At 41.8% G+C, this 23,881-nt stretch overlaps 1 long non-coding RNA gene across 1 annotated transcript in view; it reads left to right on the top strand.

Annotated features, from left to right (window-relative positions):
• LOC124900610 (uncharacterized) overlaps positions 1-23,520 on the top strand; it is a 170,779-nt gene extending 147,259 nt beyond the window's left edge. The window contains exons 3-4 of the long non-coding RNA XR_001742671.2: positions 19,370-19,493; positions 23,415-23,520. This is a non-coding gene — a long non-coding RNA (uncharacterized LOC124900610). The remainder of the gene's footprint in view (positions 1-19,369; positions 19,494-23,414) is intronic.
• The last annotated feature ends 361 nt before the right edge of the window (positions 23,521-23,881 follow it).

Below are 23,881 nucleotides of genomic sequence, written 5' to 3'. Positions count from 1 at the left end.
AACACCTGGAGGGCTCAGTGGGAGACATGAGTCACAGAGGCAGGCCCAGAGGACTGTGGAGGCTGTGGAAGGCATGCCCATCCATAGATGATAGCTGTACATTTGCCCTTTCTGATGGTCGCTATGAGGCAAAGTCCAGCGTCATTCAGTTTTTTAGTATTTCAAGGGAATTTGGGAATAGGGATGTTTGAATGAAATATTCTGACTTTTAACTCTAGCTTATTTCTGGTCCAGCATACAACTGGACACAAGTACTATGTTCACAGTGAATGGGTGATGCTTCCAAACATTCAAGAAGGAAAGGCATGGTTGGAGATTGTCTTTCAAATGACCCAGACAAAATGAACCTTTTTCTAGGAATCTTCAATTGCCCACTTAGGGCAAAGCATTGTGTGGCATCACTCTGAAGTGGTAAAAGTGATCAAGCTTCACCCTCATTTTTCAAATAACTCACAGTCTAGAGGGAAGTCTAAGACATGACAAACATAACTAAAATGTAGGTTGAAGTCATATAACTTCCAAAAGGGATATTCAAGTGAAGTTCAAAGGAAGGAGAAGTCACGTCTGATTGGTGAGACCAGGGAAGGATTAATGGCATTGAGATGAGCCTTGACAATTAATATAGAATTGTGGTAGATGTGGGCAGGAGGACTTTCCAGGAAGAAACTTTCCAGGAGAGTGGAGGTATGAGGTAGAAAAACGCAGGTGTGCAGGGATGCTCAGAGTGCAGGAACTAGACAAGTGTAAGACAGGAGAGCTGTTGGCAAGAAGGCAAGAAAGGGAGATTGAGTGCACTTTATGAGGACATTGAATGCTAGAAAGAGAAGAGTTTATACAATTATTTTGGTAGACAGAGGCTATCAGTGCTTTCTGACTTGGAGAATAGGATGCCTAATATTTTCTTAGGTGAAAAGTTAAAAGAACAGATAGCAAAATAAGAGAGGCAGTACTGTCTGTCACTTACTCAGAGGTTAAGTTCACTTTTAATCACTTGTTTTGTCCTCTTGATTGCAGCTTACTTTTTCATTCCCAGGTGAAACATCCAGGAGCCTCTGAGAGATGTAGTTTATGCCCAGGTCACTTTGCTTATGGTCTTCTAGCTGAGGTGTCAGCCTGGGGTGTTCAGCCCTGATGGTCTACTTGCAGCAGAATTGTGGATTCCCAAGGACCTCTCCTCCTTCTTCCTGGCTGTTAGAAGAATATTCCAGCCAGAGGAAACACTCAGTTGCAAGTACCTTGAGGTGGGAGCACACCTAACAGGAGCTCTTGAGTGAGGCTGCAGTGAAGTGAGTGGGGACAGAGTCACCAGATGAGATCAGAAAGTGATGGGCACCAAATCATGTGTGACATTGTGAGTGCAAGAGTTTGGCTTTTACATTAGTAAGATGGGAAACCATTGGAGGGTTTGGGGCAAGAGAGTAACATGGAGAATTTTGGACTTGAATTGATTTAATTTTCTTATCTTGTCACTTATTTTCCAAGTCTTGCTTTTTTTTATACTAATTTTTTGGAGATTTTCTCAACTTTGTTTTTCAGTCCATCTACAGATTTTTAATTTCTTCTGTAACATTTTTTAACTTCCCAAAACTCTTTCTTATTCTCAGACTTTTGAGTATCCCATTTCATGAATGTGTTATCTTCTCATTGTCTCAAATATATCGATTGCAGCTTCTGCAAGCTTTCCTTTTCTGCCCACCTTGACTTTTTTGTGAAAGTCACAAGGCTATTCTGGTTGTTTCAGGTTCTATCTTTCATATTAGAAGCTTTCCTTAAATACTGAAAGGTCCTTGGATATTTGTATGCATTTAACAACAAGGAACTTAAAAGCTGATTAGAAGTTTTCGTTGTGAATGTGGGACTTATAAAGTGATGGCTTCTCCAGGATGATAGGAAAGAGACCCAGCCATTTTATTGGAGGCACCAAATGCCAGTAAATATACATCTTTCTTTTAGGGCTCATCAATTTCCCCAGAGAGGAGAAATCATCTCATTTCATGCATGGGGTAGAAGAGGAGGAAGTGGAAAAGCTGTATGTTATCCTGAAATTCAGATTTCTGACATTTTGGTGGGGAGAGAGGACGAGGGGACCTCAGGGGCAGTATGAAGATATTATTCTGATTTCAACACAAGATGCTTCGTTTTGTTACACCTCCTTCTTTTCCCAAGGCTTGTCAGAGAACTCCTAGGAAGGTTTGTGCCCATCTTCTGGTCAGCTGTTAAGTTCTTTATGTCCCTGAAGCAGATTCAGATGCACCTTATGGAGGAGGGAAGAGGCCATAATTGTGATTGTTGTCTGTTCCTCATAATTCCTTTGCAGTGCTCTCCTGAAGTGGAGGCATAATGTCATTGCAGAAATGCCGTATCTGCTCTACTGCTATGTGGGATCATGGTATCCTGTGTATGTCCTCAGACCCTGAATCCTTCATGCTGTCTCCATGGCCTTAGTGGCAAGTCTCTGCTGACTTGCCCAGGCCTTGGAGGCTCCTTCCTCCTGTCAGGCTCATGATGAGGTAGAAGGTCCTTGCCCAAACTATCTTGGCCTTAAATATTTAAGCTGAAATAACAAGTTGAGTAAGAACCCAATCTATACTCTAGTAAAGTATATTATGCTGATAGTATTAATGTCCTGGATTTGTTCATATGCCACAGTTGTGTAATATCCTACTATTGGGGGAAGCTGGGTGATGGGACCTCTCTGTACTGTAATAAGTACAAAATAAAAATTTATCCGAACCTTCCAAAGTAAGGTGATGACCCACTCAAGGAGGACTTTCAGAGAAGGTGGACAAGAACCCCCTTGTGACTTAGCTGACTACTCACATTCAGCCTGTAAGAGAAGTAGGAGAGGGCAGGAAAGAAGTTCAGAGCTAGATATCAGGAAGAGAATTTCAGTGGAGAGATTGGTAATGTGAGTCTATGTGTCACCTCTCTTCTGTAGGGAAACTGACTAGTCCACAGACCATCCAGTTGGTTCTTTTCAAACAAAGCATCATTTGTCCAAAGACAAATTTCAATTTCTACCCTCAAATCCTACTTATAACCCTCAAATGCCTGTTTCCGGCATCAATAATTTAAGATCCAATCTCCCTCAATCCCCACAGTACATGAGATTTTGGAAGACCCTCAATTTAGTGATAGCTTAGTCAGCTCAGGTTGCTGTAACAAAATACCATAGACTGGGTAGCTTAAGCAACACACATTTATTTCTAACAGTTCTGGAGGCTGAGAAGTTTAAGATAAAAGTGTTGACAGATTCATTTCCTGGTGAGGACCCTCTTCCTGCCTTGCAGACAACCATCTTCTCACTGTGTCTTCACATGACAGAGAGAGAGAACAAACATGAGTATACTTAGGTGTCTCCCTCTGCTCATAAGGGCACTAATCCCATCATGGGAGCCCCACCCTCATGACCTCATTTAAACCTAATTGCCTCCCAAAGGCCCCATCTCCAAATAACATCACATGGAGGTTAGGGCTTCAAAATATGCATTTTGGAAGAACACATTCAGTTCATACAAATGAGCATGTGAAGAATGCAAGAGTTTTTTCTTTTTTTCTAAAGCTATTTCAACACTAGAGTTACTTGAGATGGCACTTACAATACCATAGAGCAAAGTTCATGTTCTTCAGTAATATCTTCCATAGTTTTAATGTACTTAAGACTAAAATGAATTTAATTGCCTGATGAAGAGTATTGTGAGAAAAATGCTAATGTAGCCTGCAGCACCCCATTTTTTGAGGTAGAGAAACAAGTACTTTGTACTTCCTTCTATGATAAAACTTACTAAGTCTTTCAGAAGGTCACAGCTTTCCATCTAGTTGCTAGCAGAGAATCTGGCTCTTAAATAGACTGCTAAAAGAATGCTAGTAGAATAAATGAAGAATGGTGCTAGAATGGTATTCCTTCCGTCTTTCCATTTAAAAACCCATATATCCTGAACCCTGGCCAACCCTTCACCAACTCTCACTTTCCTACCACCACACACACCTTGTAGCTTTGGACTTTGAGAGCAAAAAGTGAGAATTTATATGGAGGGATGAGAGAAGCAGGTTGGAGCTCTCCATGATCATTTAAACACAGAGTGAATTTAAGTTAGGTTTAAAGGCAGAATGCAAAACAAATGTCATATAGCACAAATTACCCTTGAAAATTTTTTCGAAAGGTACCATGTTGTGGATATGTAAAACGTAACTGGTGTTTCTTCCAGCATTGGAACAGCCTACTTCTGTTCAGCATCGGTGAAGTTGGCTTGAATTGAGGGGTTATATTGTATGAAAAAGATCTTTTTAAATGCTCAAATTAACTCCATATGGTGACGTGCTGTCACTATGAAAAGCACCCCAGGACCAAGACTTCCTGAAGGATTGCAATTTGCTACCTTCCCTCTCAGTCCCACCAGTGAGTAGAATTATAGAAAGAAATCTCATTCTCTCTTTGTCTCTCCTTCCTTCCCTTCCTCATTCAAATTTTTGGTTTGGCCCAGCATGCATAGTTGATTTCTCTCAAGTTAAAATGTGCCTATGATGAAATCTCTTTATACCCAGAAGTGTGGGAGGTAAATTGTATCTGGCAAAAGCCTTGCTGCTTGAATGGATCAGAGTAAGGCTCAGATCACCAGGGTGTACTCACCAGGATGTTGTAGGGAAGAGGGAGCCACAGATCACCACTCTGCCGCAGCCACTCTGGTCGGAGATGGGCACAACTGGTGTTCAGTTGTGGGAAACATAGAATTATGTCTACTGATTTTGATTTCAAGGGTTTTCAAGGAGCCCTGGGCATAACCACATGCTGATGTGGGACATACGTTTAGCATCGTGGAAGGAGCTTGGTATGGGGAGAAAGAACTAGGGTGGAATCCTGGCCTCACATCTTTCTGGCTGTGAGATATCTGGCAAAATGTGTGAGCAATGATTATGTAGATAATAATATATTATAGGGATGCCATGAGGATTAACATTTATGCAAGGCATTTAGCTCAAGGCCTGGGACATGCTAAGCACTCAAGATATGGCAGTTTTCTTGCTGTCTCCAAACGTGTGACAAGCCCTTTTCATGAGGTACAGTGATGGATGGAGGCAGGAGTACAATAAAAACAACAACAAAAAAAAACCAGGCCAAGCATGGTAGCTCACGCCTGTAATTCTAGCACTTTGGGAGGCCAAGGTGGGAGGATCACTTGAATTCAAGAATTTGAGACCAGCCTGGGCAACACAGCATAAACCCCGTCTTTACAAAAAAATATAAAAATTAGCTGGGCATGGTAGCACGTCTGTGGTTCCAGCTACTTAGGAGGCTGAGGTGGGAGGATCGCTTCAGCCTGAGAGGTCGAGGCTGTAGTCAGCCAAGATTGTGTCACTGTACTTCAGCCTAGGTGAGAGAGGGAGACCTTGTCTCAAAAACAAACAAACAAACAAACAAATAGAAAGTCATCCCAACTAACACCACTTAGACACCACACAATCAGACTTGATTAAAGGATTGGCAAAGAGGAGGTAGTTAGTATAGAGACCACTAGACTGTGATCAAGAGGCCTTGCCTCTAGTTCTGGGTGTGCCTTGGCTAAGTCTCCTCTCTTCTGTGTTTCCTCAACAGTAAAATGAGGGAGTTGGATCATCTCTAAGATGCCTTCTTGTTTTGAGATGATAACACTCTGTCCAGTCTCTCCTCTAAAACTTTCAGTGGTTCTCCAATGCCTTCCAAATTAAACCCATTTCTTTGGCTCATGTTAAAGTTTACTGAAAAATAGCTACAGGTTACTTTTGCAGTTCTTTTCCTCCTACTCTCAACTTGGAAAACCCAACACTACAGCAAATTGTCTCTTCCTTGTCCATTCCCTGCATTTTTACCTCTTTTCCTTTGTTCTTGCTGTTTCCTCTTTCTACAATCTCTGCCCCTCTTCATCTGTGAAATTCTTCCCACCCTTTGCTGCATGCCATGAGCTGTCCTTTGCATGAAGTTCTTTGTGTTTCCTCAAGAAATTTGTGCTACATTCTTCTGTTGGGCCCCATCACTGTCCTTTATGTATCATCTGGCTGTGGGGGCACTATGGGGTGATAGGAACAGGAAGCTTCCTGTCACTTTGAAAGCACTCTTCTGACCATTCCTGGCTGTTCTACCATTACAGTGGCCTACCTAGTATCATATCTGCTGGGAAATGTGTGGACTTGGCTGGTAATTGAGGGAAAGACCCTTTAAACGATGCTTTTGCAGAGCTCTGAAATAAAAGTGCTGCTATTCACAGTCAGGTTCTGGGAACAGTGAGGCGTAGATGACATTTCTTTTAAGCAACATGCAAAGTTTCCCCAGAGGAAAGAGATTAGAAGACAACATTAATTATTCTTAAGACTGTGAGTCCTGATTTTCACTAATTGCTTAAATTTGCCACCTGCCTATTCTGACGGGTGACATTCCACTGGTAGGAATCCAGACCTGCAGAAAGAAAAATCTTTCCTTCTGAAAGGGCTTGCTGGACTTTTCCAGCATGTCCAGTGTGCAAGAAGGCAGGGCAATAGCTCAGCAACTCCAGTGGGGAAGTCTGAGTCTAGGACCCCCAACCACCATTTCTTATTGGTAGCAATAATTCAGGAAATCCATCCTACCATGTAACGTAGCAGTTAGTAGCATGGACCCTGGAGCCACACTTTCTGGGTTCAAATCCCAGTCCTCACCCTCTTACCTTGCTAGCTTCATGACCTTCTGGAAGTCACCTAACTTTTCTGCGCCTCAGGGCTTGGCTAGATTTGAAGCCTGTTTGTGAATGGCCACCTCTGCTGCTGCTCCCTGTCCCTGAGCCTCCAGAGGATGTTGTCAGTACAGCTTGACATGGCCAGGGGCTAGACATGTCCTTAAACATCTCTTCCAGAGGCTGTTTGTCTCCCACCTTTTCCCTGGAGTTTTCAACCCCCTTCTGAGCAGGCCCATGTCTTGGATGACCTTCAAGGACCCTCATCATCCTATGTTCTGTGGCCTCACAGTTTTTTGGATGAGGATGGGCAAAATGGGTCAGGTTAACAAATTATTGGTGAAGTGTGAGGCAGCTAGAATATGCTGCACTATCCTCCCACCTGCACCCCACCTCTGATAAAACATATTGCATTAACTTGTTTTTCATTCATTCAACTGGTATTTAGTAAGCATCTACAAGGATACAAGGGCTAGCCAGATTAACAAATGCCTGCTGAAACTTGAGGCAGTGCAAATCTAACATCTCCAAAACATGTATAACACATAATTCTCTCAACTTATATTTGTTAAGCATGAAACAAGCCTGGGTTTGCCCTTGTCCAGCCTATTGTCTACTGGAGTCTCAACTGCAGTATGGGATAAGCACTACCTGGGGGAAATTCAGGGAGAATTTTAGAAGAGCAGTGAATCCAGAGTTAGGGCTCTTGGACGGAGTAATCACTACAGAAGAGCTGAAGGGTGAAAAATGAATAGGAGCTTATCATCCCAAGAATGGAGGGTTGAGGGGTAAGGGAGGGTAAGGAGTGTTCCAGACCGAAGAATGGCAATAAGAGGTCTAGATGGAAGAGCCAGCACTGCCCTGCTTGGGGACCCAAAATAATGACTTCTGGGAAGAGGTGTAGGTCTGTGGAGGAATTTGAACTTGAACTTCAGGGCAAAGGGGGGCTGCTATGAGTGAGAATATTTCAAGGTGATATTTGGGTTTTAGAAAAATTGCCCTGCTCATAGCAGGAGAATGGGTAGAGGAGACCCAAAGTGCAACAGCTCTCAGCCCTGTCCCCATCAAGTCCATGACGGGGCCAAGGCCATGAGGGTGAGTGACAAGAGCTCAGGATTCACTGTCAGGAGACCTGAGTTCTAATGTTGGTGTTACAGCAAACAACTGATGATGACTTTGCGTAGTAATTTGGTCTTCAGTTTTCCCTCTTGTAAAATGGTGGTTTCTAAGGTCATAGAGCTCTGTTTCTCTGTCATCTTTAAGCCCTACTATTAACATGAATTTCTTTTTACAAATTTCTCTCTCTCTCTTAGTTTGCTAGGATTGCCCTAACAAAATACCACAGACTGGGTGACCTAAACAGCAGATATTTATTTTCTCAAAGTTCTTAAAGCTAGAAGCCTGAGATCAAGGCATCCACAGGGCTGGTTTCTCCTGAGGCCTCTCTCCTTGGCTGGGAGACGGCTGCCCTCTCACCATGTCTTCACGTGGTCTTCCCCATTCCCGGTGTCTCTTTGCATGATCTACTCTCCTTTACTTAGAAGGACACCAGTAGTCGGATTAGAGCCCGCCCTAACTTCCTCATTTTAACTCAGCCACCTGTTTAAAGGCCCTATCTCTGAATACAGTCACATTCGGAGGTCTTGGGGTTAATGCTTCAACATATGAATTTGGGGGGATACCATCAGTCCATAACTTTCTCTTTCCTTTTTTATATCTGCTTTGATATTAAACATGCTGAAACTAGAAATATCTGGGCTTGTTTGGAGCACAAACTTCCCTAAGTTTTGATTCTCTTTTCTATGCCCTTTTCCCCTGAGTTTGATCCTCATTTCACTTATTGATGGTGATTATATGGGCCATCCATTTCTGGGAAAAGCCAGAGTTAGCTTTTCTTCTACACTAGGCAAGATTTTTTTTCCTGTAATAAAAGAGCATTTGAATTCTATGCTCTGCGTCCAACATGAAACCTTTTCCCTTCTTTTGTTTGGTTCTAGTCTTTATGCCCCAGTGAGATTCTTACTTCGTGGCCAGGCTTGTTTTCTTTCACATTCCAAATGAATCTATATCCTCCCCTTTCTGTCCTCTTTCGAACTCATTACTAAACCCCACTAGGATCTGCAAAAGCTCATTACATTAATGTTCTCCCAATGTTTCTTGTCATCCACCAAACTGGACTGGCTCACACATTTCAATTGTAGTCTCTTTAAGACCAGGATTTCATTTCATTTTCTTGCTTTTGTCCACTGTGTTTTAGCCGCTCGTAAGGGCCACGCATCCCTGGCACCCCATGAATAAATGAAATCACACACTGTAATAATGACAATAGGGCACGCACTCCTCTACCTGCCTACGGAGTGAACTGTTCTTTTGACTATTTTGCAAAATCATAACGGCTCACTGGAGGTTTCTTCCCACTTACCTGATTCCAAGCCTAGTGAATTATAAACGTATTTTATTTAACAAATTCATTTTTATGACCACAGTCAGCTCCTATCACAATAGTTAAGGTTCTGTTTGCAGGTTCATAACTTGGCCATAAAATTTTGCTTCAGGCAGATACTTTAGTCTAATGACTCTTGGCACAAAATGTCATTATTGGAATCTTTTTCTTTCAACACCAAAGAAAGTAAAAAAAAAATGCTTTTACTTAAAAAAAAAAACCAACTTTTCAAACTCTATTATTTTGTATTAAAGGAATGCTTCTCCCTTACCCCAACAAAAAAGAAATGCCAAACCTCAGCCATCAAGGTGTATAAAGCCAAAATAGTATCAAACTTCCTTCACCATGCTTCTCAGTGGGAGTGATATTGGCATTTTGGTGGGACAGTTTTCTCTGTGCAGGGTGCCCTGTGCCAAGCAGGGCATACATTTAGCGTTCCTGGTGCCCATGCACCTGCTACCTGCCCTCTCTCCTCTCCCTACAAACTGGGGTGAGGTCAGGCTCCACACTTTGTGTCTTTTTCCAAAGGCACACTTTCCAAAAAGACTATGGCCTCCAGACTTGTTGAAATTTTAATTGACCCGGAATGAAATGCTGGAGTAGGAAGCTATAAGTTGACCCAGTTACCTTGTTAGCCATTGGTAAAACGATGAAATTGGAGGAGTCTATCCTCAGAATTTTTTAGCATTCCTTTTTCACAATGTTTTCCTTTTCTGCAGGCTTTCCTACAAATCCTGAACTACCTGGTTGCTCTTTGGATGCCTCCCTCACTCCTAGAAGTCTCTGGCTGAGACCTGCTTTTTCTCCAGACACTCATCAAAATGTATCTACTTTTTTTTTTTTTTTTTTTTTTTTTTTGGAGACCTTGCTCTTTCACCTAGGCTGGAGTGCAGTGGTCCAATCTCGGCCCATTGCAACCTTCACCCACCAGGTTCAAGCAATTCTCCTGCCTCAGCCTCCTGAGTACAGGCGCACGTGACTGGGACTACAGGTGCACGTGACTGGGACTACAGGCGCACGCGACTGGGACTACAGGCGCACGCGACTGGGACTACAGGCACATGCGACCACGCCTGGCTAATTTTTTGTATTTTTAGTAGTGACGGGGTTTCACTGTGTTGCCCAGGCTGGTCTCGAACTCCTGAGCTCAGGCAATCTGCCCACCTCGGCCTCCCAAAGTGCTAGGATTACAGGCGTGAGCCACTGTGCCCGGCCAAAGTGTATCTACGTTTTACCTCTGCTCTCAGGGCCCTACCTTCTTTCCAACATGGCAGTTACTACATCAACCAAACCTTGATAGTGGCTCCATTTTGAATATCTCTTAGCAGAGGTGATAGTCTAAAGGTCTAACAATTGACTTGGCACAGGCATGGATGAATCAGAATGGACACTGGTGGAGGCTCTGTGTTTGGATGGCCCTTTTGTACCAGGTGTTACTCCTTTAGTTGCTGGCTCTTGGGGTATTCAGGGGGAGCTGGGGGAAGGACTGTTGTGGGTTAGATGGCATAGAGAAAGTGCTGGAAGGGTCTGGGAATAGGTTGCTCTTTGTCAGTTAGAAGTGCTTCAATACATTAACAACTGATACCACCTCATGGTGTTGCTTCTCTAACTCTTGAAGGTTTTATGTTTTAACAGAACACTCCTGCGTTCTTGTTCTTATTCTAAAAATATGCCTTATTCTAAAATAAAGAATAGAACTTTAGGTACAGTAGCATGGTAATGAGGAGAGACTTAGACCTGTAAAATTTTAAAATTTGTATATAGTCAAAATAATATGCTTGTTTATACTTTTTTTTTGCATTAGAAGTCCTCAATTTATCAGTCAAATGCTCATGTATATTTTCTTTTTAATGTTTTTATAGGTGAAATTTATTCTGGTGTATGGTAAGATGTGAAGATAGAATTTGAATTTTTAAAAAAATAGCCAATTCTCACAACACCGTTATTGAAAAGTTGTCTTACATTGACTTCAGTTTTAGGGCTGTCTATACAAGTCTACTCTCTCTGTCCCATCTTGCGTTGGCCCCGCATAGTTTTGATTGTTGTGACTTCGTTAGCCGATTTGACACTGGATGAGACAGAATAGTTCACTTTCACATTTTCTCAGCTATTTCTCTGAATAAACTTTGGTATAGTTTTGTTAAACTCTGTCTCTCCTGTAAACCCCTACCCCATCGATCTGATTGCTATTTTTATTTTTTTACCTCTTAATACTATTACATTATTGCTATTTTAATTAAAATTACATAAATGTAAATATGAAAGAGGAAAGAATTGACATTTTTGCTCTATTCAGTCTTACCACTTAGAAATACTATGTCCAGTATTTACATTTAAGCCTTTGTTTATATTTCTCAGTAAACTTTGATAGTTTTCTTGATATATTTCTTTTTGAGTTATTCATCAGTACCTGTATTTTCCTTTTTCTGGTTCAGTTTTGTTACTGATATAATTTTCCCTTTGGTGCCAACTAACTGGTTATGGTGAAGGTGGGTGCTGGGATCCTTCGAACTTCATCGCCTGCTCTCTGCACTGGCAGGTGCTGACAGGTGGTCTCCATAATGTTCTCTGGACCACTTTCCCATAAACAGATTCTGACAGGAGTGCTCAAAGCCTGAAACTGACTATGGTGCTTACCAATGCATTTTGGCATAATGTCCATTTTGCTTCTGGTGAGCAAAGCTTAAGAGGAAATAAAAATAATTGCCTATTTTGACTAAAAATTACTTCTGCTTAAATACTCACAATGGGACTTATCTTCTGAGGAGAAGTTCTTATTAACAATTACAAAAGGGTTTCAAAGGCATGTTCAATAACGGTTCATTTTAAATGCCAGTTATTTACTAAAAGGGAGACTAGCTGTAGAGGGATTAAAAGACACATTTTTGGCCAGGCACAGTGGCTCACACCTGTAATCCCAGCACTTTGAGAGGCCAAGGTGGGCGGATCACCTGAGGTCAGGAGTTCGAGACCAGCCTGGCCAACATGGTGAAACTCTATCTCTACTAAAAATACAAAAAAAAAAATTAGCTGGGCATGGTGGTGCAAGCCTGTAATCCCAGCTACTTGGGAGGCTGAGGCAGGAGAATTGCTTGAACCCTGGAGGCAGAGGTTGCAGTGAGCCAAGATCGCACCACTGCACTCCAGCCTGGGTGAAAGAGTCTCACTCCATCTAAAAATTAATAATAATAGCACATTTTCTTTTGAAATCTATGGCTTTTTTTAAAGTTCAGAGAGAAATGTGCACTTGCTTGTGCCTTACCCATATCTCTCTACATAACCAGCAAACCTGCTCCAGAAGAAATTCAGTTACCCCCTGAAGAAGTGTAAGTGAAGAGAGTCTCACTCCAAGTCACATATGAATGGCCCTGTCAAGCTCTACAACAGGGAATGAAGCCAGGCAGGGATTGAAATCGCCCTAGGGAGCACCAGTCAGTGCCCAGTTAATTGTGTTAGCTGTACCCGAGCCACAAGGAGGAAAGAAATTATGGCTACGGGAGAGGTGCCCTTAAAAGACTCAGGATCATACATCATGGTAATTATACTATGCATAAATAATCCCAGAAGTCAAATAAAAAGATCTAATATTTGGTATTCTCTTTTCAGCTGGCTGGGGGAGAATGTGGGTGAGGTCCATTACTTTTTTGTTGCCAATTAAAGCTGAATGTCTATACTTTGGGTTAAAAAAATTATAAAACCAGAAGCAGAAGCATACCAGATTATTCTCAAACACATCCAAGGTTAAACACACCAGTGGCTGCAAGTTTTTACCAATACACTTTTTTTTTTTCAGTTGTTCTGAGCTAGAAGATTATCAAGGTATCTGGGATGCTGGGATATTAGGACGCTGGTTGACAGGTGATGGCACATGTTGTTTTGACATGGGCATTAGATGAAGTCACTCTAATGACCTCTGGGCAATACTGAGTAATCGGGGACAAAGAATTGTAACATTGGATATCTGTTCTTTTATTTGTTTTCTTTCTGCCCCTGAAAGACCGTGGCCCTCCATAAAAAGCAGTGGCATTTACTTTTTGGCTAAGGTCTCCTTGATGCCTGACCTAGGAACTAGCCTGACTCTCAAAACCCATGTCCTCCCCCATTTTACCAAGACCATCATCTACATCTCCAAGACTGCCCAGGTCAGCACTGGCAGCTATAAAAGCAGGTCAATTCATGGTAGATGCAATGCAGCTTGGAATCAAGCAGATCCAGATTCATATCCTGGCTTTACCATTTACTAAATGTGTGAACTTGAGAAGCAACTCATAGATAATAACGTTTGCCTCCAAGTGTTACTGTGGGGAGTAAATAAGGTACTCTATCAGAACCATGACACACTTTTTTATTGTACAAGAGAAGAAGGTGAGTTGAGATGTTGTCCTTTCAGCCTTCAAAACTCCTGCCTAGAGTGGCTGGAACTCTGAGCCAGTCTTCCCCAGCCAGGCAGCTTCATCCATTTATACCAGAGTGCTGTGAAAATATTGCCACTTTCTACATAGACCATGATGTGAAAATGATGAGAACCATAATTTTACATAAGCACCTGTACAACTCGTTGCACCCAATAGGGCCCCAATAGATGGTGGAGTTGTTGCATCTCTGACTACAGATTAGGGCCTCCATGAAAAATAGTGTCAGGTGATGCAATGGCTGCTCTGAAGACCTTTATGGTAGGAAAACCCAGAACCGGGCTCAAGAAGGAACCCAGAGGGGCTCATAACCTCAGCTAGTCCACAAACTTGGGGTCAGTGTCAAAGGCTAGATTCATTACCATGCTATTGCTACACACAACTGTGGTTCTTCCCTTCACCTCGACTTGGTAGTTCCTTAGGGAGCAGGAGTTTCCGAAACAAACAGGTCTCTTCCTCCTTTGCTGGCTGTATGGTATCCTAGTGAATGGACTGGCCTACCCAAGTTTTTCTAGTATTGCTTGTAGATACTGAACCTCTTGTGGTCTTGACTAGTTCTGTGAAGTAGGAATATATGAATATATATATATATATATACACACACACACACATACGTGCATATATGTATGTGTGTGTGTGTGTGTGTGTATGTATATATATATATTCCATGTAAGTTGTAGAACATTTTATTCTTAAACCGTCAATTGATTGGGATTTCTAGAATAAGTAAAGACAAGGCACATGATCAGTAAGAAGACCAGCATTTGCTTTGGAAACTGATTCTTTTTAGCATGAAGTATACAAATTCCTCTTAAGTGATGACTGTCAGAGCACCTATTTTATGATATTAACTTTTTGTTTACATTCACAACTAAAATAAGTAAGATCTTTGATTTAATGCCAAAGATGGAAAACATTAGAACTCCTTTGGAATGTGCATGGAGATTAGGAGATAGGAAATAGTAAATAAATAAATGGGTCATTTGGTCTCATTTTATAGATGAAAAAACTGAGGCTCAGCGTTTTCAGTAACTGGTTTAAGGTCATGCAGCTAACAAACAGCAAAGCTGTGATTTGAACCTAGTGCTGTCTAACCTAAGTTTTATCTCAGTCCAATGCACATCTTCAACCTCTCTTCTGTGTTGCCTACCTAGAGATTAGGTAGAAGTGTTGTGAACGAGGAGGCCACAATGAGGAGTCAAATTGGGAGTAGGTATTCAAGTTAGAGGAAGTGACTTGAAGACTTCGGTAACATGCAGACAAAGCATGTGGGGAATCGAACATAGTAGTATCATTGGGGTGGCATTTCTGGGACAGGACATATAGGAAATAGAAGGAATTAGGGAGGAGTGTATATCTCAGTTAAGCTACTGAAGCCCATAATTTATTAAATTATAAAGACATTTCAAAATAGTATAGTTGTCTCTTAGATACATTTGTGTTTCAGACTTTTTAAATTCTTGTAGGTAGAATATTGAATGGAAGATATAAATACTGGTTTTATTTCATTTTTCTACTTTCATGTATTTAATGGTATAAATTAGATATCAAAGATCACTTGCCTAGCCAAGAAAGGGCGATAGGTGGGGATGGAAGTAACTTTGAGGATGCTCTACCAACCTCTCCCAATTCATCTGAGTTAAGTAAGTGGAGAGTAAAAATAAACAGTAATGTGATTGAATAATAATAACGAATGCATATGGAACAGCCAGAGAATCCTCTGTACTAGAATCCTTATCATGATCAGCAGTTGAAACCAGAGTCCAAGTAACTGTCGTAGGAGAAGCAAGGCAGAGCCTGGCTGGTAGAGTGGAACAGATGAACCAAAGGGCTGCTTGAAACAGACAGTCAACGAATTAACCATGAGCTCATCGATCTGTCGTGACACAAATATGACACTGTGCAGTTAACCCTCATCGCACTCTTGGTTTGAGTCTTTGAGCAGAGGCAAGATGCTGACTAAGACCTTCCAAAGGCAATGAAAGTGAAATCAGAGTGAAACCTTTGCCACCACTGGCTCACCAAAACGAGCATCAGTTCTTCTGAAAGCTGAGATTTCTACTAAGCAAGAGACACAGCCTCAGATGGAATTTTCCTGCATTGTTTTCATGCTTCTAATTTAAGTTGCAACAATTTTCCACCCCATACACCCTGCATATTCCAGCCGAGGGGAGTACCATGGCTATCTGGGGACATTGGTGTTAAAATGCCATTTAAAAAGGAAGCACGGCTTCAGGAGTGTCAACAAACAAGAAGCCACAGAAAGCAAGCAACAGAAAGACCTGAAGGCTAAGCAGGAACATGGAGTGGGGAGCAGTCCAGACTTAAAGGTTCCTTCTGAGCTTGGCAGTACCGCTTGTGAGTTTGCATTGGTGTTCCTCTGATTGAGCTCTTCTGATGGGACATTACTGTGGCTCCAAGGTGACAATGCTGGGAAAAGTCAAATTGTTAGAGACACCAGGAATAGTAGGAGCTTCTGATGTCCTGTTCATATTGCTTGGCTTTCACCACTCCCTTACAAGGCAGCAGCTTTCTTCTACAGACGCCTGCAACTTCCATCGAGCATTCACAGGTTGGGAACTTTCTCAGCTCACCTGGAAAAGGCCAGAAGTGAACACCCTTAGAAGCAGCCCTCACAAATGACAGAGGAAAGCAGGTAGATAAATATTCCAATTTCCTCACCCTTTGGTGGGACAACTCTGAGGTGGGTTCTGTGCAGCCTCCTAGAGGCTCCTGGTTACAAGTATATTAGCTTGGTACAAAAACACTGGTCATCTCATGTTTACCCAAAGCCATAATGGACAACTCAGTATTTCTGACGAATAAAAACGGGGAAATAAATGAATCTTACCAAATCAGTACACATTGTTTCAATATAGGCTCCGCGGCGGCTGGGGGTGGGAGAGGGAAAGAGAAAGTGGATGTGGGAAGTAAAGGGCAAAAGAGGGAGAGTTTGGTGCTTGAAAGGCCAAAAATTCCTTGATACAATGGCAGATGGCAAATTGGGTCCTTTTCAGCTATCTGACTCGCATTATTCAAATGGATTTTGACCTCAAATCACCTCTCGGTTGGTCACAAACTCCTATTTCTGACCTTCTGGGTCCTCCCCAGTCCTATGGGTTCAACCTTGGGGTCCCTGCATCCTTGACCCCCACACTGCCTGTCCTGAGTTCATTATGCTCACTTCTGCCTCAGTTGGAATGTTATCCACACTGTTCTTTGCCATGAAGTCTGGCCCATCTTTTAAGACCCAAAGCAATTCCTCCCTCTTGTTTGACATCTTCTGTGGGTGGTCCAGCTCTCTCAAGCTTCCCCTCTGCTGAGCTACTTGGCAGCCCATGAGGATCCACACCACAGAATTTAACCCTGGATGTTGCCCTATTTTGCATGACTCTCTTTATCACAAGTGTATTGATAATCTTTTAAAATTTTTTAAATTTTTTAATTGAAATATAATAATTGTGCTATTATTCATGGGGTATGTAGCATAGTAATGTTTCGATCATATAATGTATAGTGATCAGATCAGGGTAATTAGCATATCTATCATCTCAAACATTTATCATTTTTTTGTGTTGGGGACATTCAGTATCCTCCTTTTAGTGTTTAGAAACCATCTAATATATTATTGTTAACTACAGTCATCCTACCATGCTATGGAACCCTGAAACTTACTCTTCCTATCTGTAATTTTGTATCCTTTAATAAGTCTCTCCTTATCCCTTCCTTCCTCTACTCTTCCCAGCCCCTAGTATCCTCTGTTCTACTTTTCACTTGTATGAGATCAACTTTTTTTCAGCTTCCACATATGAGTGAGAACATGCAGTGTTTAACTTTTTGTTCCTGGCTTATTTCACTTAACATAATATCCTCCAGTTCCATCCACGTTGCTGTGGAATGACAGGATTTCATTCCTTTTTTTTTTTAATGGCTGAAGAGTATTCCACTGTGTATTTATCCCACAGGTTTTTATGCAGTCATCTGTTATTGGACACCTAGGTTGATAGTTTTTTAGAGGTAAAAGAATGCTCAGTGGTTCTTGTCAAGACTTTAGGATTTGAGAAGAGATTTGAACTCTCTGCTGTGTCCCGTGATGATCTTCAAGAGACAGCAGAGTTTCAAAGGCCAGGGCCACCTTTTCAAAATGACTTTAAACAATAATAAAAATAGCTGCCATTGAGTGGGTGCCTGCTATGTGCCCACTTGCTAAGCACACTTTACTATTGTATCTCATTTAATCTTTACAAAAATACTGCAAAGTGGGTATTAGTGCCCCCATTTTAAAGATACAGAAACTGAGGGTCAGGAACTTGCTCAAGTCCACACATTACTAAGTGGCTGGGACTCAAACACAGGTTACAAAAGTCAATGGTTCTATTGGAGTCTAAACTTTCCTGTAAAGAACCTCCTAGAACAGTTTCAAGGTAATTTCTCTGTGTATAAATGTATTGAGTTAAATAGGCAATTAAAAGCCTGAAGCAAAAATAGTGTAGAATTAGTGAAAGTTAAAAACAAAAAGCAACCCACTAAATATAAGCTCTTCTCACTGCCTACCAAATTTCTGAGACAAGCCTGGGGCAGGCCAAGCTGGACAGCAGTAAGTGCTGTGGAGAAAAATGAAGCTGAGCCGGGGAATGGGGGTGTTAGGGTGGGATGGTGGCAATTTTGCATAGGTGGTCCAGGAAGGCCTCAGTAAGAGGGTAACACTGGAACAAAGTCTTGTGGAAGGAGGTGAGGGAGGGAGCCATGCTGATACCTGGGGTAGGGTGTTCTAGACAGGGCAACAGCAAGAACAAAAGCCTTGGGGCAGGACTATGCCATGCATATTTTGGGAACAGCCAAGAAGACAGAATGGCTGGAATGGAGCCATCCAAGTAAAGAGCCAGAGGAGGTGAGGTTAGAGAGGACATGGAGGCTGAGATTGTGTCGGGCCTTGTGGGTTTTGTGCAGAATATACGTCCTTCTCTAGAAGGTTTTCTGGATGTTTGGGATTTGTTGGTTCCTCCTTCCCCTCGTATGTTGGGATGTCGTGAAGTGGACTGAGGGAGCCACTGTCCTTGGCCACATTTCACAACCAACTAGTAGGCTGATTATAGGGTTATAAAGGGTGCACTATCAATCCAGTTATCCGGGGCAATGGAAACTTTACCCTGGGTGCCAGTGTAAGACATTGGCCTCAGCATTATCCCATCTAAGGAGTGAGGAAGTTGGGATATTTATACATCAATCCCTGCTAGTCGGTCGAGGGCTGTTTCTGGGAGGGCAATGATTCTCTAGCATTTCTAGTCTGCTGCAGTGGTGGACAAAATGCTTCAGTACCAGTGTGCCAGGGTGCCAAGGACCCCTCAGACAAAAAGAGGTCAGTCCTGGCAGTTGAAAATCAGCTGGTTTCATGCCCTAAGTTGGTAAGGATGGACCTGTGGGCAGGCACCAACATAGTTAATAGCCTCTCTCTAATGCTTTTGAATCTTATCTCTTCGGCTTTTACTAAGAAAGGAGAAACAAGAAGCTTCCTTCTTCTTCACAACCACCTGAAAACATAGGCTGGAGTTCTCAGAGACTGTAAGGGAAAACTTGAGATGAACATATAGATCACCCGCATCCACCTTTGTTTTCAGAAAAAGATAACTAACCTATAAAACATCAGTTTCAAACCCCAATTTTTTAAAAGGAAGGAGAAAGAACATTTATTGCTAATTGCTATTGTCAGGGTGAAGATTATTTCTTGGCAAATAGTACAGGGAGCTTTTGCAAAGATGCTCATTAATATAATCTGTGATTCATGGAAACCTAATCTGACAGATGAGCAACCTGTGATTCCTACTTTTCAGGGATACTGACTACAGTGATTGGTGCGGGGAGCATTTCTTCCTACCACAAACTACTCTGCTAACCTCAGTCCAGGATGTCCCCTCTAATAGAGATGCTCACTGTAGCACAGAAAGAAGAGTGATGGTAAGTTCCTCCTCCTCCAACATGTCCTATGTGCCAAACACTGTGCCTCAAGATGGGTTATATGGCCTTTGGGAGAGCTGAGTAGACTTTGCAAAGAGGGGTTCCCATGTGTGCAAATAAGTTGCTGGTATTCTGAAACCTTGGGATGGTTGGTATGGCCAACATGCTAAGAATGGCTTTTACATTTTTGAATGGCTGGAGAAAAATCCAAAAAAAGAGTAGTAATTCAGAACACCTGAAAAGTATATGATATTCAAAATGCGGTTTTCATTCATGAAGTTTCATTAGAACCCAGCCCTCATGCTCGTTTGTTTACAAATTGTCTATGGCTGCTTTTGCTCTGTAACTGCAGAGTTGAGTAGTTATGACAGAGACCTCATGGACTACGATGCCTAGAATATTTACTATAGAGTTCTTTATAGGAAAGTTTGCTGACCTGTGCAATAAAGAATAGTGTTGTTGAGGATCTCTTCCCCCCAGATAAGTATCTAGCACAGAGAACGAGGTACCAAACAACCGCAGTTAGGGTAAATCCACTTTAGAGGATTACTGATAAGCAACGGAATACAGACCAGATCTTGGTCCTGAAACAGACCCACACTTGTGGCCAATTCGGAAGAGTTTTATCTTTTTACTGATCCCTGTAGTTCTTAAGCTAAGAGGTTTCTCTGGAAGTAGGCAGAAGCAGAGGGAGTAGGAGACCTATTCAGGCTTTCAGCTGAAAGCACTTTGTAGAAGTTACCATCACCCTATCTTCCCATATTCCTACTTCTTCTAAAGCTAAGACATTCCATATGTGAGACTGTTGGAATTCAGCTTTTTACCAGTCCTATAACTCATCACTCAATAATCTCAATCTTGTAAATGAAATCAAAAGCCTGAGGAAGCCAGGCTATTCAAGGATATTGCAGAGCTGTGTTACTAGGCCCACCTAGTAACTATGAGCACATTGGTAAGGGAGTTAGGTCACTAAATTTAAATTCCAGCTCAGCCACTTGCTAGCTATGTAACACTGGGCGTGTTCATTAATCCCTCCGTTACCTACCTTCTCCATCTGTAAAATGAAAATGGTGATAATATCTCCTTCATAGGGATTCTCTGGGGGGTTAGTAACATGTGCTCCCAAAGCAGCCTAGTATGATGCCTGGCTTGTAGAATGGACTCAAAGAATATTAGCTATTATTAGTGTTTCAAAATCGGAATTGGGGAATTTTAGATGACATATTGCAGGATCTTCATGCAAATGATATTCATAATGAAGCACACTTCACCAGCACTTTCTGACTCACCCAAATGGCATTTATTTGGTCTCAATAGCTAAGTGTCCCTCCCTCATGTTGCTCACACTTGTGGTACTCATATTTACTACTTACTACAATGTCCATGAATTTGACTTGGTAAGATGACACATTCCTCAAATGAATTATAGTGTTTAGGACCAAAGCTAATTTTAATCATACTATATACCCAGGTTATAACACACAAATTTGAACACAACTAACGTTGGATGAATTAAAATTGATATATTGTTACAAGTCACTTCTAACTTAATTGCTCAACCATAATTCCCAGGTATAAAGTTCTTGCCAAGAGAGTCAACATTTAACTTGTGCAAATACTTATTGAGAATCTACTATATACCATATACATACGCTATATTTTATAGTATACACATATAAAATATTTGTGTCTGACTACAAAGATGAATAAACCAGTCCTTGAACTCAAGGAACTCACAGTCTAGTGTGTAGTCGGTAGAACACAGGAATTATCTGTAGATCTGTTCAGACCCCAGGCTCTGGCCTGGCCAGGTTGTAGAAGACCTATAGATACAAGGGTATAAGGTGTTGGTTAAGTTAGAAGGGCTATCTTTGAAAAAGTAGGCTTTCCACAACCCACTAGAATGAAGTCCAGGAACTGTTAAAACAATATTTCTCCTGATATCAAGGAACTTGATTGATCATTCAGAAATCAATAAGTCCTGTGGTTTTTCTCAGCAGGTCAGAGGAGGCTGTCTTGGGACTGGGTGGCATTTGCAGGGATTCTCAGCCTGAGCTAGGGGTGCTTGGTGGGAGGTGGCTCTGGGTGTCTTTTCTCAATAATCAGTAAATATAGTTTTAGCAGCATTTTTCCCAAGGCCGATCTCTGCTGTCTTCACCATGGTATTACCATGATGTTGTTGGGCTGTGTGGTGCAGGTGCAGTGTGGCTCCATCATGGAGCTTTCCATAAGAAAGCACAAGTGTCCAGTAGCCCACACAGCTAGGAGTCTGTCTCAAAGCAGTATGTTTGAATAGCCTGTCTGCAGGAAGTTTTTAATTGCATTAATCTCAACAAGCTCTGACAGTTGTACCAATTTGCTTGAGAACTAGAAATCTAAATTTTAAGAAAAAGAGTGTGCATTTGCTTAAACATAACAGTTTATCTTTAAATCACTTGTAAATCTGCTATTATAAGCTACACATAGATGTTTCAGTGACAAAGACAATAGTAAAAGTAGAGAAGGTCAGGGCAAAGCATCTTGCATAAGAAATTACCATTTAGAGGCCAGGCGCGGTGGCTCACACCTGTAATTCCAGCACTTTGGGAGGCCAAGGAAGGTGGATCACGAGGTCAGGAGATCGAGAACATCCTGGTTAACACAGGGAAACCCCGTCTCTACTAAAAATGCAAAAAATTAGCTGGGCGTGGTGGCGGGCACCTGCAGTCCCAGCTGCTCAGGAGGCTGAGGCAGGAGAATTGCGTGAACCCGGGAGGCAGAGCTTGCAGTGAGCCGAGATCACATCACTGCACTCCAGCCTGGGCAACAGAGTGAGACTCCATCTGAAAAAAAAAAAAAAAAGAAATGACCATTTAGAAGTGTGGAAGTGTGTGTGTGTGTGTGTGTGTATATGTGGTGTAAAAATATGTGTGGTCAACAGTAATATCAATCAGAATACAGAGGAAAAGCCGTCTTCTTCTGAAGCAATATTCTTCATTTATAGCAGAGTAAGCATATATTTCTCAAAGACAAAAAATACAGCATGTACAAGTCCTGTGGAATTTCTAAGGACTTGGCTTCTGTTTTGAGATGTGCAGACCACCAGTCTGAAGCTCCAGATGCCCAGCTCTAATGTGAAGTCAAAGTCACGGGCACCGTTGTGAGATGTACTCATGGTCTATCAGTTGTTGGGTGTTTATGATAATGTGCATGAGAGGATAAGAGCAAGAAAGGTGGGAGGAGTTATGGAGAAGCCTCAGAAGCAGCTAAGCAAACTCAGGCAAAACAGTGTCAACAATGGATTTAATGAACGACAATTTACTTAAAATGACATCTAATATTTAGGGACACATTTCCTGTTCTACAGATATTATCAAAGTATAAACATAATGCAAGAATAATACTTAAGGGACTCAAAACATCACACAAATTGCTTGATGAAAAGTGGCAAAATAGTCTGTTGTTACTGTCTGCTGCTTGGCGGAGTTCTTCTTTTGTTGAATATTAGAATAAAGTGACATCAGTTTGTCACTTAGCAAATGGTCCTCCGCTTCCTAAAGCATCCAGCAGATGGTCTAGGTGATAAAGTGCAGCCCTAGCGTGTTCATATTTTGCTAGCAGCCTCTACCCTGCACTGCTGCGATCACTCACCTCCTCTCCACAAGGCGACCTCACCATCTTGTCATCCCTCAGTGTCTCACACCCCAGGTCACATGCATCACCGTCAAACCACACAGCTCTGAAGTTAAATTACCCAACTTCTTAATGTCGGCTCCTTCAGTGGCTTTTCCTTCCCATTCTTCATGTGCCCCCTCGCTCTTTGCAACCTTGGTCCCTCCATGTGCCTGCACTAAATTAAAAGCTTCAGGTCCTGGATTTTTTGCAAAAAAATTTGAGTTTTGTTCTGAAAAGCATACCTCCCTTCTTTCTCTCTAATCCTAGACTAAAATCATATAACATTTGAGGAGCAGGCTAAGAACCCTCTGGCTGCCCTAAAAAGTTAAAAGAAAGGGACTGTGCACCAATGTGTTTAAAACTGACCAGAATTCTCAAGACTGCTGGTAAGACTTTGTACTTCTTCCTTCCATATGCAGGATGTAAACATGGGGTTTCAAGCAGATAAGACTGTTTACAGTTGGCTGGGATAGGAGTGGCCCTGCATTGTTAGTATGTAGTTTCAAGCAGTTGGCCTCTTTTAAAATGTAGATATTTTTGTTGACATACATTGCTGCATTTTAAAAATTAATCTACTAGTTATAATTTTTTCCCCATGGTTAATCCACAAACTAGTTAATTCTGGATACAAACAAGAGTTGACTACACTACAGAAACCAGAAAAGGTCTTACTCACCCGAGGCAGGGGAGGGAATGGTAACCCCCAAAAGATGAAGCTGCCAAGACCTGTGGAA

Source organism: Homo sapiens, chromosome 5 (genome assembly GCF_000001405.40).
Source record: "Homo sapiens chromosome 5, GRCh38.p14 Primary Assembly".
Taxonomy (NCBI): domain Eukaryota; kingdom Metazoa; phylum Chordata; class Mammalia; order Primates; family Hominidae; genus Homo; species Homo sapiens.
Note: the sequence above shows the minus strand (reverse complement) of the source record. Positions and strands in the feature narration are given on the sequence as shown.